We start from the raw sequence: 17,737 nt of genomic DNA, 5'->3' as shown, positions 1-17,737 counted from the left end.
TAAGTTTGTCTTTTATATGTTTATCTCTGTCTTTTAAATTAGCATTTACAAATCTCAGCCAAAATAATTCTCTAGACTGGGTTCATATGGATAAGGTCCACTATTATCTAGCTGTGCTTTGTTTTGGTAATTTTGTGGTTATTTGCTATTTCCTCAGGCTGGCTCTCTAATTCTAGCATTCAGAATTAGAATTAATATTGCAGATTTTTGAACAAGTATTTATATTAAGCAAACTGTTAGCTACAGTAGCACATTATTAGACAGATAGTGTTTAACAATTTCATTGTCAATTTGGATTAATTAGAAAAACATCACATTTTAGTACCCTAAATAGCAGTTTTGTTATTTGAATTGAAAGTAATTCAAGCTTCAGAAAATTGAGGCTGAATTACTTCAGTTTTTCTCCTCTCATTTTTTAAAAGACAGACTTAATTCTCTAAGATTATATGGTTAATTGAATTTATATTATAGTTTGACAATATTTGTGTATACTAAGTTTGCTTACCAGTCCTGGAAATGCCTATGCAAATAATTTATAATTGCAGGGGAGAAAGCTATACTCTGCCAGGTAGTTGAGTAGTTTGGAAGGGGGAAATTTTTCTTGGTAAATATTCAGCAAGTTTGCTTTTGGTAGTTCTAGTATTTCAGAATTTCATTCGCCTGCCAAAGCCTCAAATTTAATCCAATTTAATAATACCTAATGGATCTCAACTTTAGAATAATCTGTGACCTATTCCATAATACTTAAGTTATTCACTATATTTGAGCTTCCTTGTACTTTTTCACTGAAATAAGTATTTTAAGAATTTATATTATGCATTGCTCATATAGGCATTTTCAGAAATATTACTTTCAAATGCCAACCAATTATGTTTGTATTGTATTTCTTGCACAAGTTTGAAGAAATTGAGATTTGTGTTTGATTTCTAGTGGGCCTTTCAATATATTATTTCACCAAAATAGATAATAAACTGTTCAATTGAACTGTTGAATTGAACTTTTTATTCTGTGAGGAAGTAATAAGCAAGATAATCTTCTCTGACATTACAAACTAATATAAAATGTTGAACTTCACTCTTTTTAAAATTTATGATTCAATGAAACTTTATTTTGAAATAAACAATGAGTATTTGTATGTTTCACTGAGTGAATTCCCTAGTTTTAATACCAGATATGGCCATAAAGTAATTAGGTAGAATTCTGAGAATATATGGCTTTAAATATACTGCATTATTTTAGTCATACCTAATGTATAATTCTATAAATACTATGTAAATATCTCATATAAACGTATGAACTTTACATCAGTAAATTATTTTAGCTCATTCAAAATATATGTCACCTATATATTTATGAGTTTCATCCAGTAAAGGGGCAAAAAAGCAGGATGATATATTTGTTTTCAAATTTGGATGCATTATAATGAATATATTGGCAGTCTTTTTAACAGACCTACTGAAAGCAGTGTGTTGCTGTCATCCTCTTCCAAAAATTACTTAGATAAAGTCCCATTTCAAACTCCCATCAGTCTTTCTCCAGAAGCCTTCTTAGAATCAAACAATATCCAAATGGAAAATTTCCATCTTATCACTTATTTGAAGTAACAAATTAAATTAGCTGGTAGTTAATTAGCTGACCAAATTAAATAGGAATGAAAAATACAAAGAATACTCTTAGAAATATTGCCCTGTAAATGGAATGCTAATCTCTAAATGCAGTTTATTAGGAAAATAGGATATTAGGGAAATAGTCAAAGATTGGATTGTTTCTATCTTTTTAAAGTTTTCATGGTAATAAAATATTCCAACTTCAGATTTGGAAGTGTCTTATATCCCCAGAATTTCCTTTGAATCGTAATATTTAGGATATTAGGGAAATAGTCAAAGATTGGATTGTTTCTATCTTCTTAAAGTTTTCATGGTAATAAAATATTCCAACTTCAGATTTGGAAGTGTCTTATATCCCCAGAATTTCCTTTGAATCGTAATATTTTTCTCTCTAAATTTTATTCTGTCTACAGAGCTACTCTGTTTCTCATCTTAGTTTGTTAATTTATTATTTTAACATACACTTAGTTCTTTGGAATCTTGGGGAAATTAAATATGATATTAAATATGATTATACAGCAGAGGGTACTTTTTTGGATATTTATCAGATTCTATAAGGATAAGATACTCCTGGACAGTAAATTGCATGATTGGGAAGTTCATTAACTTTTCCAGGCCACTGTATCTGATAAGTTAGAAATGTAATATATGAAATTGTGATCTAAGGTATTATACTTCTGGGGACATGGACAAATATTGTACATCTTGTTTACAGATATAAATGATCACAAAAGTCTTTCATTGTAAAGTAACCAGTATACAGTCATCAAGGAATATAAAGTTTATATGAAAAATCGGGAGTGGCTCCAGATATTTCTTTTAACTTGCTAACTTGACTAAACATCTTAAAGTTTGAGTCAAATAGTTTACATTAACTGGAAGTCATTATTATTCACGGATATGCATTTGCTTTTAATATTTTGACATTTGTGAAACACTGTTAAAATAATTGCTTATTAGAAAAGATCTTTTTTCCATAAGTTTTTTTGTTTTGACAGTGATGTGAAATTTGAAAGTAAAGAACGAACAGCATGTAAAGGAAAGATTGCCATATCAGGTATGCTATAAATGAATCTTTTATATTGCTGAATAAATTCTATAACGTAACTACATGGTGGATTTTGTTTTATGCCCTGTCTCCATTCTCTTCATTTTGTTTTTCATACCTCTATCAGAATATTTGTTCTAAAACACTGTTTTTAGCATTATATGCTACATTGATATAGAACTTTAGAGTTTAAGAAAACTGTTTCATATGTTACATACTCTACAGTTTTCTCCCTAGTGCAGTCTTGTAAAATAGGTAGAGTAATTGTTATTTTCTACAGACTCAGAGGCTAAGTGACTGAGCTAGGCCAAACCCAAGTCTTTTGACTCTGTTCCTTTCCTGCTCAGAAGCTATAATAATGTTTTTAATGTTTTGTCTAGGTCAGAAGTTCCATGAGGTTTTGGTACCATGTTTATTTTGGTCATCACTTTACACCCAGAAGCTAGCATGGTGCTTGGCTCATAGTAATTGCTCAGTGACTCTTGGATGGATGGCTGCTCTTCATTGCCTGTAGTGTAAAGACCAAACATTTTTCTCCAGTCTTCCATTTTGACCCAATTTTTTTTCTAGTCATATCTTCTATTACTCCTAAACATAAGCTGTCGCCTTTAGCAGACATTTCTCTCCTTGTCCTGGCAACATAACCCATGCTTCTGACACCCAATTAGCTTGTGAAATAACTACATTCTCTTAAATATCTGTTTGTTTATCTATATATAATATAATCTCTGTTACCGTTCCAACTAGAAAGGATGTTTCCTTTCTCTCAATTCCTAATGCAGTTAGGAGACCCTTCACCACTAGATGGCACTTATGCTGTGCAGTCTCAGTTTCTCCAAAGTGTTCAGGAAGCTAAAGACAATGGCTTGGAGATGCCACAGATTGAAATGAATACATGGCTGACTCGTGTGTACACTAGTCAGATAATGCACTTTTACAAATATTTTCTTATCAGTACATTTTTGAAACAATAGTATATACCTCCATTGGTCCTTAAGTAATCACTAGGTTATTGGCTAAAAGTCTTGTACTAGAGAGCCTGCTGCTACATTTGAGGTACTGTCACCTAAGGAACTGTTTCTAGTAATATTTTTCTGGATAAACAAAATTATCACACAGGACGGTAGACCTACATTTTACAAAGTACGTAAATGGCCAAAATCTGAAGAATTGCATTCAGCTAAGCAAAATATTCTTCAGAAAATAACTGGAATATGTAAAAATTTGTTGCTTGTTTTATAGTTATTTATATTTGTTTTTATCTTTATAATACAAAACAAAACATGTTTTATCCTTGTATTCTTTTGCTATCAAACATGTATTTTTATGTGGTATTGTTCATTATGTGCAATAAATTTTTTGTGAATAAATTACTATAGATCTTTGAGATTTTATAAAAACTAAACATATCCTTCATTTCTTGCTTCTAATATAGTGTCACTCAGTATATAAATGACATATGTTAAGTTGCTGTTAAACACTCAAATGCCATGATAGTCAACATCTATTGTCATTTCATAACAGTTTATTGATTGTAGCAATTCATAATATTAGAAATAACTGTACATTTAGAAGGAGGCTCAAGTAAAAGTATTTAAAATAAAATAAAAAACTATTTCCTGCCCACAATTACTCAAGTGTAAAAATTGAACTTATTTCTGCATGTGTTTCTTCTTTCCAAAAGATAATTTTAAATTAAGGAACGGAAACTCTGAGAAAATCGGATACTTACGTAATGTCTTTTCATCTTTGCCTAGACTTAATTATATCTTGTATGTGTTTGTAAAAACAAAATAAAAAATGAATTCACCTTTATAAATCCATTTTTTCTTGATATTGGGATGAAAATGTGACCTTTGTTTTGGTAAAGATGAATATTTGCAACAAAGTGTCATAATGTTTTGAGATTACATTGATAGCCAGAAAATACCTGGGTTTTCTGTTTCCAGCTACATCACTCCCTGGCCAGGTCTTTATGAAACTAAATCACAAATTTATTATTTCTGCTGAACATCAAATATTTACCATATGTAAATGTAGTATTTACCGTAATTATATTGTGGTAATTAGCTTAGTCACCGACTACTAATTTAATGAATAAACCAAATCAGTTCACCAAGTACCTTAGTTTTCACTTTTGAAAATGATAGACAGACTTCTGGGACTTGATAGCATCAAGTCAGCTGTCTTATTATGACTCTCCCAGTTTACCATTAAAATGGCAATGAAGACATAAAACAAGACAAAAGTTAGAGTACTGTAAACTGAAACTGAGCCATTTGCAAGAATCTGGAAGGAAGTTCTATCATTGGAAGCTGAATTCAGAAATAGAGTTGATGGGTTACAAATCCATTGCTATCTGAAGAGCACAAGACTACCTGGAAAATCGGTATCCAGCTTCTCCTCTTGTGGAGCTGATATCTACCCTCCTCTCTTCGGCATGGGATAGAAGAAGGCTGACCCACAGGTTGTGGGTGTACAGCAAAGGAAGTCAGGATCCATGTCCCTCCCATGATAGTGTAAATAGTTAATGCTCTGTTAATCCTAACAGAGCAAGAACAGCTGTGAATAAGTACAGTTGTGAAATGAAATGAGTCAGCAGCTGTGGTCAAGCAAGAAGAAGTGGACTTTTTGGCAGGATATCAGCCAAGTCATAATTACAAAACAATAAAGCATTCTCATAAAAATCAAAAACAAAATTACAATGTCTGTTATGCCAATATAATTTAACAATTTTAGAAGTTCTAGCTAAAATAATAAGAATAAAAGATGAAACTATTGAAAATAAATTCATAGGTGGGAATTGAGCAATGAGAACACATGGACACAGGAAGGGGAACATCACACACTGGGGACTGTTGTGGGGTGGGGGGAGGGGGGAGGGATAGCATTAGGAGATATATCTAATGCTAAATGATGAGTTAATGGGTGCAGCATACCAGCATGGCACATGTATACATATGTAACAAACCTGCACGTCGTGCACATGTACCCTAAAACTTAAAGTATAATAATAATAAAATTTAAAAAGTAAATAAATAGATAAATTGAATACTGTTTGAAGATAATAGATTGTAGGCCCAGCACAGTGGCTCATGCCTGTAATCCCAGCACACTGAGAGGCCAAAGCAGGCAGATCACTTGAGGTCAGGAGTTCGAGACCAACCTGGCCTACATGGTGAACCCCTTGTCTCTACTGAAAATCAAAAAATTAGCCGGGTGTGGTGGTGCATGCCCGTAAACCCAGCTACTCCAGAGGCTGAGGCAGGAGAATCACTTGAACCCCGGGGGCAGGGGTGGTAGGGGAGGATGGAGGTTGCAGTGAGATCGCACGATTGCACTCCAGCCTGGGTGGTAGAGCAAGACGCTGTCTCAAAAAAAAAAAGGTAATAGATTGTAGACTTACAAAACTTAAGAGAATTTACTGCAACACTATTTGAATGAATAAAGAATTCAGTAAAAGTGGCTGGATTCAAGATAAATATACAAAAAGTGGTAGTTTATCTTAAAATCAACAATAACTAATTAGAAAATATAATAGCAAAAAGATACCCTTTACAAGAAAACCTCCAAAAAACAAAAATATTAATTATTCAAGAATAACCTTAATAAAAATGTAAAGACAAATTATTATGCTATTCTGTGTAAAGATAGAATATTATAAAGTTATCAGTTCCCAAATTAATTTGGATAATGGAATACTAATAAAACACTTGGGAAAGGGAAATTTTGACAAAATTTGTTCTAAAATTTATATAAAGAAATTAGCAAGTAAGAGTAAGGTGTTTTCAAAAAAGAAATATATCTAACAAATTAGTAAGTATATTATAAAGGTACAATAGTTAACAGTAGTATAGTGTTGCCAGGCATGGTGGCTCATGCCTGTAATCCCAGCACTTGGGGAGGCCAAGGAGGGCAGATTGCTTGAGCCCAGAAGTTGAAGAACAGCCTAGCAAACATAGTGAACTCTGTCTCTACAAAAAAAAAAAAAAAAGTATAATAATTAGGCAGCCAGGCACAGTGGCTCACGCCTGTAATCCCAGCACTTTGGGAGGCCTAGGCAGGCGGATCACGAGGTCAGGAGATCAAGACCATCCTGGCTAACACGGTAAAACCCCATCTCTCCTAAAAATAGAAAAAAATTAGCCAGGCGTGGTGGCACATGCCTGTAGTCCCAGCTACTCGGGAGGCTGAGGCTGGAGAATCACTTAAACCCAGGAGGCGGAGGTTGCAGTGAGCTGAGATTGTGCCACTGCACTCCAGCCTGGGCAACAGATGGCACACACCTGTAATCTCAGCTACATGGGAGGCTTAGGTGGGAGGTTTGCTTGAGCCCTAGAGTTCAAGGCTGCAGTGAGCCATGATGGCACCACTGCACTCCAGCCTGAGCAACAGAGCAAGACCCTGTCAAAAAACAAAAAAAAGAAAAATAGTATGGTGTTGGTATTTAGCTAGACAGTAATTAATAAATGATTCAAATTCATAAAAGTATAGCCAAGGAACAGACATTTACTCAGAATGGCATATATGATAAAGATGTCATAATTAATCAGTAAGGAAGAAACAGATATATATGGAGTTAGAACAGTTATTTTTATAAGAAGAATATATTTTTACCTCACAAAAATTTGACAGATTAACTTTTTAAAAGTACAAACTATAAACAATGTCTAGAAAATGTGCTGTTAAATAATAACACTTTATTTTAGCTATAGTAGTCAGAATTATTATGGAATGCAGAGGTTCAGGTCACTGTAAAGAATAAAACTTACCAAAATTATTACTTGTCATTTCTTTTTCCCTTCTTTATAGATATTCGAATACCACTAATGTGGAAAGACTCTGATCACTTCAGCAATAAAGAACGTATGTATGATTTTAATTTGTAATTGAAATGTTTTCTTTAGTATGTAGTGTATCTGATTATTGAGAAAAAAGACTGCTTCCTTGCTGAAATAAATTGATGTCATTTGAAAGAATAAGCAGCATCTTGAACTGTTTTCTGATTTTTAATATAAATATGTTGCAGTCACTTGATACTAATTAATATAGTGCATATGTAGTGTACTTTTAGTTGTTGATAGGAACCAGTGCTAGGACAGTAAGTACCGGGTTCAGAGTGGGAACGGGGGAAGGGAAATATGGAACAAAAGAAAATGTTTAGCGAATAAAGGTAAAGCCAACATTTCTTGTATTTGACCAGAATCTGGAAGATTTTTCTGCCTTATTTCATTACTTCAGGTTATTTAACAGGATGAAATAGGGAAAGATTTTTAGCTTGATCTGATTTTTTTTCCTTCAATATTTTATGGTTTTATACAGTCTTTACAAATCCGTGTATTGCTTAGGTCATGGAAATTAACCTCGAATGATTTCTAGCTATTAGAGGCAAAGCAGGAAAGATATGATAATACTTTATCTTTCTTGTCTATTGTGATAGCTTTGTTCCTTGTACTTTAAAAACTGAATCATATTAAGCACAATTAGTTTTATATGAAGAATTTAAAATCAGGTTAGTATTTATTATTCAATTAGGAAATATAATTTACTTTACAAAGGAATACATGTGGGAATTAAGTAAAGCTTTCTGATTACTAAAGAGAGTAAGTTTTTCTGAAGAGCTACATTTTCTCAATAATGAGGATTTAGCCTTTTAATCACCTAATACTTTTTAAAACATCACCAAATCAAAAGGCCCAGCAGCTATGTTTTTTGTGTTCTCATGTCTATTTTATTGTTTTGTTTTTTTTTTTCTTGTGGTTTCCTCCCTTGCTGTTAGTTTGGTGGAAAATATTTTGCTGTCGTTAATGTGCCTACTCTTAACCTCTTCTAATAAAAAACATCTTTTTCTTAAATAGACTTGGAAACCAAAATGACAGCGGTAGTAGTAGTGTGTGTGTGCACGCTTGCATGCCCGCGCATGTGTGTATATAAAGTTTACTATTAATTAAAGCTTAAGAAGTTTAATAGGAATAAAATTTATGAGTTTGGTGGTTTCTTTAGGCTGCTGAGAGGCCTGTATATTTAACTTTATTTTTTGCTTCCTTGTTTAATTGTGTTCTAGTTGAGTAAGGTATTCCTATATACTGGGAGAACAGTCACTGTAAGACTTAAGGGTTACAGTATACAATGTATGAAAAGAATCTATTAATAATATTTAACCTAATATTTATTTTCAAGTAGATTTTAACAATGATTTATTACATGGATTGTTGCTTAATATGTTGTTATTTTTCCTCCAGGATCACGACGCTATGCCATTTTTTGTTTATTCAAAATGGGAGCTAATGTGTTTGATACTGATGTGGTGAATGTGGATAAAACAATCACAGATATATGTTTTGAAAATGTAACCATATTGTAAGTATTTTTTAATCTTCAGAGAATAAAAATAATTTAAAATTCTTCTTTTTTAAAAGAAAGTTCTTATTATTGGTTCTTTGGATTCATTTTATGTTTAAATGTTTAAGTGATCTTTAAATGTTTAATATGATTTTAAAAATCATTTTGTTCAGAAGAAGTCCATTTCTCTATCTGCAGTTTTCTGATGTGAAATAAAAATGGAAATCTTGTAATTACTATTAGCAGTAAATATTTGACTTATTAGATATGACCCATTTTTAAATTGTTAATAAATATAGTTCAGTTATTAACAAAGCTATGCATACAACAGAATATCCTGTAATGTTATTTGATATAGAGAGAATTTAAGCATAAAACAGGATTTTTATCTCATGTAGGATATTTGGTTGCAGAAATACTAAAATAGTATAGCAACTTTATTTACAAGATAGTCCTGAAGTACATGCTATATAGGAAGAGCACTTTGAAATTTTGGGGTGTTCTTTTTCTTATGGTGCACTTCTTTCATGTACTTCAAAGCAATAAAAAAAAATGGGTGATCTCAGGGCTGTTTTTATTGTCCCTGCTCTTTTACAGGCTCATTTTATTGTGGTCATAATACAGAACAAGAAGGAACTCCTTGGGTAGCCATAGAAATCATTTTTAACTAACATAGTTTTTCCTGCCCTCCTTCAAAGGTTCTATGTGCCTAAATCAGTGTGGGATTTGTATTTTAGACTTTTAAAGACACGATCTTTAGATCTAAATGTTAATAGCTACTAACTATTAATATAAAAATCCATGTGCATGGTTTTTGCCATTTTCAGCTATGGAGCTAGACAGGTGAGATTTTAGAGGCCTAGTTTTGCCACTCACATAACATTAAAAAAACCTATAGTAAACCATATTTTGTAGCTTCTGGTCCAGTGTCTCATAGTAATAGTATAGCCTGGAAAAATAAAATGCATTGTTCTGAGTTATAAGTAGTAATTCAGGCCTTCTTACAAGCTGTATTGAACCAAAGGAATTTATTTAGGATCCAAAACATATCCCCAAATGCTTATATAATTGAGGCTAAAAAAATTACTTTTTTCTTGGTTATCTGAATACATTTATTTCCATTATCAACTATTGCTAGTGAACTTTTTTTTCTGCCAAAATTACCAGTTGATGGGCCCTTTTCTTCACATCATTTTGCTATTGTTTGTTTTGATCATGGAGACAAAAATCAGACTTTTTTTTCCAGGGAAAGAACAATAGAAGTTACTGAGGAAGACAACACATGATTTATAATTTTTTGAGAATTCTGTAAATATTTTAAATTGTACTAAAAATAACTGCTGACAAATGTTCTACATGTTGAAAAATGTGCTTTTTGTTATGATGATTGTTTTTAATAAGTATTCAATATTTATGAATCTCTGGTTTTTCTCTAAATATTGACATTTGTTAGTCATTACCAGGAATACTGCATGTTTAAAAGTTGCCAAATAATAAACTATAAAAATAGCTGGAAGTTATTCCTGGGATTTTTTCAAACTATAGATTGGCCATTTATATCTTTAAAAGTCTGTGCTCCATTTTTTAAATCTCTGAAACTGATGGATCTTCCATCTGCAAGTAACATCTGCTGCTGATGGACCTCTTTTGCAGTCTTAAGTATATTTTATTGTTAGTAACACCACCACAGTCTTTAATGCTAAAGGTAGTTCAAAGGTAGTTCGTTGTGTCTGAAAAAGGGTAAAGCCAATCTTAACATTTGCTAAAATTGCAGAATTTTGCGTATTTATTTGATAAATATATATCTAATACCTCCTACATTCCAGGCCAATACTAGATTAAGAACACAAAGATCACCCAGACAGCACCCATTCTCAAGGAGTTCATGCTTTGAAGTACATTTTTCCCCTGTATAACCAGATAGTAAAATGTTATTTATAGTTATTAGGTACAAAAGTGGGGGAGGGTCAGGGGACACAGTGACGAGTGCACTATAAGTGACTCTTTATAAAGAAGAAATGAAAACTAAAGGTTTAGCAGATTTTTTTTGGAAGAACAGTCATTTCAGAAAATTACACATATAAATACCTTAAAAATGTATTAAAGGAATGACAAGGAGAAATAGTATTGGCAACAAAATGACCAGGGTATTTTATGCTTTCTTTAACATGCCTATGTATATATTGGTTAAATTGAGTTAAGATTGCCCTAGTTTTGAAGCTGATATCTGTGAAAGTTGCGGTAACTCTCTCAGGCCATTTAGATGCTAAATAAACACTGAGAGATTCTGTCTCATTAACATACATTAACATAAACTTATTCCAAATTCTTATTTTTTTTCCCATAAACCTTGCACTTATTGAGGAGATTTTGCAATCTTCTCTTGGCTCCCCTGCAGTCTTTTATTTATTTTAAAAAGAAATTTTATTGTGTATATTTGAGGTTTATAACACGATGTTACAGGATACATATAAATAGTAAAATGTTACTATAATCAAACAGATTAACATCTATCATCTCACATAGTTACTTTTTGTGACAAAAGCAGCTAAAATCTATTTAACAAAAATCTCTAACATGATTTGATTAACATTCACCTCATGTTTTTACAGTACATTATATCTCTAAACTTATTCATCCTACATATCTGCTATTTTGTGTCCTTTGACCTATATCTCCCCATTTCCTCTCCCCCAGTCCTTGCCCATGGTAACCACTGTTTTTTTCTCTATTTCTATGGTTTTGAGCTCTTTTTTTTTTAATATTCCACATATAATTGAGAACACACAATATTTTCATTTCTATGCTTGGCTTATTTAACTTAATATCCTCCAAGTTCATCCGTGTTGTAGCAAATGGCAAGATCTCCTTTTTTAAGGCAGAATGGTTGTCCGTTGTGTGTGTGTATACACACGTAGCTTATTTTCTTTATCTGTTTTACCATTGATGGACATACCTTGGCGATTGTGAATAATGCTGCATTCTTATAGTTTCTTCAATATCTTGGCTATTGTGAATAATGCTGCAATGAACAGGGGAGTGCAGATAACTTCACAAGGTAATGATTTTACTCCTTCCAGTATAAACCCAGAAGAAGGACTGCTGGATCATGTAGTAGTTTCCCTTTTAATTTCTTTAGGAACCTCTATACTGCTTTCCATAATGACTCCGCCAGCAGTGTACTAGGGTTCCCTTTTCTCCATACCCTCGTCAACAATTTATCTCATGCCTTTTTGATAATAGCCATCCTTATGGGTGTGAAGTAGTATCTCATAGTGGTTTTAATTTGCATTTTCCTGATGTTAAATGCTGATTTTAAATGTTACATAAACATAAAAGAATGGTATAATTTTATTTTCTACTGAGTTAAATTTCCAACATTATGAATGCCCTTGTTTTTAGTAATGAAGCAGGGCCAGACTTTCAGATAAAGGTGGAAGTGTATAGTTGCTGTACAGAAGAATCTTCTATAACCAACACACCAAAAAAGCTAGCTAAGAAACTCAAGACATCTATAAGTAAAGCTACAGGAAAGAAAATAAGTTCAGTGCTTCAAGAAGAGGATGATGAAATGTGCTTGCTCCTCAGCTCTGCTGTTTTGTAAGTTTTTAATACTGTATTTATGGTGACATAATTATACATTTGTGATATTTTAAAGTATTATATGTGAAGTGTATGTTTACTTTATAAATGGAAAAACATCAGGAAACAAAAACAAAACTTAGTTGTTTGACATTTACTCAACTGAGGTATCCTTAATACCCTCCTTTAAAGGTAGGAAGTTGGGTGAGAGTGTTTTTAGTGATTTGGAATTCTAATACAAGTTGAATATCCCTTATCTGAAAGCCTTCAGACCAGAAGTGTTTTAGATTTGGACTTTTTCAGATTTTGGAATATTTGTATATACATAATTAGATACCTTAGGGATGGCACCCAGGACTAAACATTACATTAATTTTTATATACATACATGTATACACACACACACACACACACACACCTTATACATATAGCCTGAAGGTAATTTTCCATGATATTTTTAATAATTTTGTTCATAAAACAAAGTTTTGACTGAGTTTTGACTTCAAACATCACATGAAGTCAGGTGTAGAATTTTCCACTTGTGGTGTCATATAGGCATTCAAAAAGTTTCAGATTTTGGAGCATTTCAGATTTTCAGAGCAGAGATGCTCAGCTTGTATCTACCAAAAAAATGAAATGTTGTTGGAAAGGAACTATGTATATGTCAAAGTATTTCTTTACATATTAATCTACTAATTAAATTGCTGTATGTATGTCATGCTTTATTCTTATAGAAAATATTTTATCTCTTTTTAACAAAACCACATTATCATTATCATACTTAACTAAATAAAAAATAAGTCATTAATATCCAGTCTGTATTCATATTGCCCAATTCTGGAAAAAATACTGTTTTGATTTGTTCAAATCGGAATCCAAACAAGGTCTACAATATTACATTAAAGTGAGTCTTTTAAGTTTCTTTTAGCCTACTACAATTTCCTGTCCTCTTTTTTTCTTGTCATTATTTATTGAAGAGACTAGGTCTTGTAGAATTTTCCATATTTTGAATTTAGTTGATTGCATCTTTGTGGTCTTTTTTTACATTTTTTTCTGGCCCTTGTATTTCCTATAACCTCGCAGTTAGATCTAGAGGACTGATTAGATTCAGTTCTCTTTTAGGGGAATAATATTCATATTATTAGATGTACTTCCTACTAGCTTCTAGTAGGAGGCTTTGTCCCACTTTCAGTAATGTTAAAATTGATGATGTTAAAATGTTAGGTGTTGCCAGCCTAACCCATCCAATATAAAGTTCTCTATCAGTCTTTTATCTATGGTTTTTAACAGCCAAGGATAATCATTTATTATTTCATTATGGATTATAATTTGGTGACTTTGTATATCTGTCCTGCATTCTTTTCTTCCAAACTGGAATTCTTGCAAAGAACGTGTCCTTGTAAACTCTCTGGATACAACTACAATAACATTGGTGGAGGAAACAGAAGAAAAAAATGCCTGATTCTTCCGTTTACTAGATTTTAGAATATTAAGTTGAAACCCTAGCAATCATGGAGGTGATCAGTGTTGTTTTATTTGAACTCTTGAATTTTCTTTTCTTTTCTTTTTCTTTTTCTTTTTTTTTTTTTAAGACAAGTCTGGATCTGTTGCCCAGTCTGGAGTGCAGTGGAGCTCTCAGCTCCCTGCAGCCTCAGCCTCCTGAGTAGCTAGGACTACTGGCACATGCTACCATGCCTGGTGGCTAATTTTTGTATTTTTCTTGTAGAGATAGGGTTTCACCACATTGCTCAGGCTGATCTCAACCTCATGGGCTCAAGCAATCCGCTTGCCTCAGCTTCCCAAAGTGCTGGGATTACAGGTATGAGGCCACCACACCCAGCCTTGAATTTTTATAATGTTTGTGTTTCAATCTGCCATTCTCTTTGATGCCCAAGTTGTTCATCTTTGATCAGTGGGAAACCGTTAAGCTGACTTCTACATCCTTTGACACAACCTAATCTTTGATAGCTTTTTTGCTTTCTGACACAGTAAGATGTTCCCCTTTCACCTTGTATTTTTCTGCCAAGACTTGGAAACACCATTTCTCCAAGGAGCGTGGTTTCCTTCAGATACCTTCTTTAAACATTGTATTTGTTTCTTCACAAATAGTTTTATGTTGATGTTTCTTTGGAACACTGTTGATCAAGCTGCATTCCTAGAATTTCTTTGCATGTTTCGTCGAGTTGGCTCTTCAGCATGTCAGTAATTTTACTGTAATTATAAAAAGCAAAATATTTTAGGTATAGATCCTAGAAATGCCAGTCATCAGAATTTAATGAAATTACTCTTTTCATGTGATATATATTACATGCAAAATATACTTTGGCACTCTAGCATAGTGTCTTTCAATCTCTTTGGATTGATGCTCATGCTAAAAAAATACATTTTACATCGTGACTGAGTGCACAGTTATGTAAGCAGATAGATTTTATGAAGTAATTCTTAACCCTTACTATTTACAATATAATTATCAGGCATTTTCTTATTCTTTTGCTTTCAGTTTTTTTTAATGCTGTTTGTAAATCATTAAATTGATTTCATGACCCGTGAATCAGTCCCAGTCTACATTCTGAAAAACAGTCATAGAAGATGTCTTTCCAATGTAAATGTCATTTAAAAGGAGGCAAGAGACCTTTAATTTTCTTCTCTTAGATCTAAGACCATCTTTAAAACTTTTCTGCATTAATATTATATCAAGGATTTGCTGGAAGGTACTTTAATTCAGTCATAAGGTGGTGGAATTAATTCTTTTTAATGATTAGATAAACAATTCTATTTCCAGGTTTAAGCAGGTTTTAGTGCAGAAAGAGATCTTAGAGATAATTACCCAGTTCAATAAGTTTTACATTTTTTAAGTAGCAAAGCTCCTATTTTAAAAATGACAGGACCAGTAGTGTCTTTTATCCAACTACACTATATGGTAGAAAAGTTACATTTTCCCCTCACTTTCTCATATGAAAGGCAAAGATGTTCATACACAATCACTTCTTTTTAGAAAGCTTTTCAGAAACATTTTTGGAGTTTCATGCACCTTTACAGCATGTAAAAACAATGAATGTGCTTCTTAAACAGTTTAAAACTTCATTGTTTGTCCATGAATACTCAATTTTTAATTTCTGTAATTTATTACTTCTGTGACCCAAGAGAGATTAATTTACTCTGAGTTTTTGTTTTTCCTTCTGTAATAATAATACATAATAATATCTCAACTCCATAGGATAATTACGAGATTTAATAAGATAATTCATGGATTTGGTTTATAAAGGAAGCATTTTGTAGTAAGCTCTGTTACCATTATGGTTACTATTTTTACTGTTCCCAGACCAGTGCTTTTTCTAGGGCTTTTTTTTTTAAACTCATGCTAAAACTTCACAGTTTAGAAACTTGACATAGGATTATAAAATGTAGCCACATTTTTTCATTTAAACTACATTTATAATTTTATAGGAGGTCATTTAAATGATGTTAGAAACTATATTTAAGGCTGGGGGCAGTGGCTCATACCTGTAATCCCAACATTTTGGGAGGCCGAGGCAGGCAAATTGCTTGAGCCCAGGAGTTCGTGACCAGCCTGGGCACCATGGTGAAACCCCTTCTCTACTAAAAATACAAAAACCCAGCCCCAGCTGTAGTCCCAACTACCCAGGAGGCTGAAGTAGGAGGATCACCTGAGCCTGGGAGGTTGAGGCTAAAGTGAGCTGTGATCATGCCACTGCACTCCAGCCTGGATGACAGAGTGAGACCCTGTCTCAAAAAAAAAAAAAAAAAGAAAGAAAGAAATTATATTTAATCTATATTTCTTTTTGAAGCCTAGAGGAATTTTTGAGAATAAATTATTGTGCATTAAGTTCTTTTTAATAGACAGCCATATAGATCTTGGAGTGTCTGTTTTCCTGTTCAGAATTTTTCATTCTATTTGGTTTATTCTGAGTTCAAACACGAATTTTCTTTATAAACATTTCCCCCTTGAATCTTGCGTGCCATTTGTTTATTTGATACCATTAAAGTGGGTCAAAAGATACAATAAAACCTTTTACAACATTTCACAAATCATGTCCTTGTAATACCAGCATTCTGTTGACACTGTAGTGTGAACCCAGAGTCTACTAGGTTAACTCATAGCCCGGGACTACTCTTACCTGATGCTTCCTTAACTGACCACTTCAGCACCATGGTAGGAGTTTAAAAATCAGGATGCATAAGGGGATCAATTTTGTATATTTAAGTGATCTAGGTCAATGCGAAGATTTCTAATACAGCTTTTAGTCTTTAACCAAAATGGACACATATAAAATGATAAAATTTTCCCTAGTAATATGATATGTGACCAAATATAGCCGTTCTTCCTGACAAGAGTGCATTTTTTAGACTACCATTTAAGCCATTTTTTTTTAATAACATTCCCCTTCCTCCAAAAAAATGTTGTAACAATTGCCCTATTTGATAGAAAAAAAAATGTAGCTGATTAAACTTTTGGGAACTCAAAATTAGGGTTGGCTAAAAGGAATGAGTGTGATGTTTTAGAAAGAAAATGTTATCCTGACAAGAATGTTTTAAAAGTGAGGTCACTGTTGGTTTTGGAAGCACTGGCATTGTAGTTAGTCATGTTTTAAAAATGAAGCAACTTGAAATATCATAAAGTATTGTTTGATCTGAAAGAAGACAGTGAACATTTTTGGTAATTTTTAGTAAGCTCCCTGATAAGATTCATCTATTCATTTTATTGTGGAATTTAGCTTACTAAAATTCCTTTAGCCAGATTTTCCCAGTGCATCTAATAGCTGAATTAACTATTTTATGTTCCTTGATAACTATTTAGTACATTATTCTTTAAATATACATCATTTTAAGCAATCATCGTGTGAAAACTGGTAAAATTCAGCATGATTATTTACTTGACAAAAGATGTATTGTTTCTTAAAAATAAGCCACTAATACTACATTTTATAATACTACATTTTAAATATGATTAAAGTTATAAAACATGCATCCAAACACTTGTTCAGAATACATGGATTATTTATGTTTTGAGGAACGAGACTGTTAAAGATTTGGTGATGTGACAGATGATACAGTTTGTAAACATAACTAAGAAGTTACTCAACTATTATATATAATTAATTAAATCATTGTAGAAATGATTATTCAGCAATTATGT

The 17,737-nt window shown here is 32.5% G+C and overlaps 1 protein-coding gene across 9 annotated transcripts in view; it reads left to right on the top strand.

Annotated features, from left to right (window-relative positions):
- RTKN2 (rhotekin 2) overlaps nt 1-17,737 on the top strand; it is an 84,945-nt gene that overhangs the window by 20,182 nt on the left and 47,026 nt on the right. For 8 of the 9 annotated variants that reach the window (XR_945618.3, XM_017015844.3, XM_011539457.4 and 5 more), the window contains exons 3-6: nt 2,606-2,664; nt 7,468-7,521; nt 8,898-9,015; nt 12,400-12,597. Coding sequence is in view for 8 of the 9 variants with exons in the window: in XM_017015844.3 (XP_016871333.1) it covers nt 2,606-2,664; nt 7,468-7,521; nt 8,898-9,015; nt 12,400-12,597 (429 nt within the window). In the remaining variant the exon portion in view is untranslated. Of the gene's footprint in view, nt 1-2,605; nt 2,665-7,467; nt 7,522-8,897; nt 10,507-12,399; nt 12,598-17,737 lie in introns of those variants that run through there. The other variant, NM_001282941.2, reaches the window with a different exon arrangement.

This window comes from Homo sapiens, chromosome 10, assembly GCF_000001405.40.
Source record: "Homo sapiens chromosome 10, GRCh38.p14 Primary Assembly".
Taxonomy (NCBI): domain Eukaryota; kingdom Metazoa; phylum Chordata; class Mammalia; order Primates; family Hominidae; genus Homo; species Homo sapiens.
This window is presented reverse-complemented; position numbering and strand designations above follow the sequence as displayed.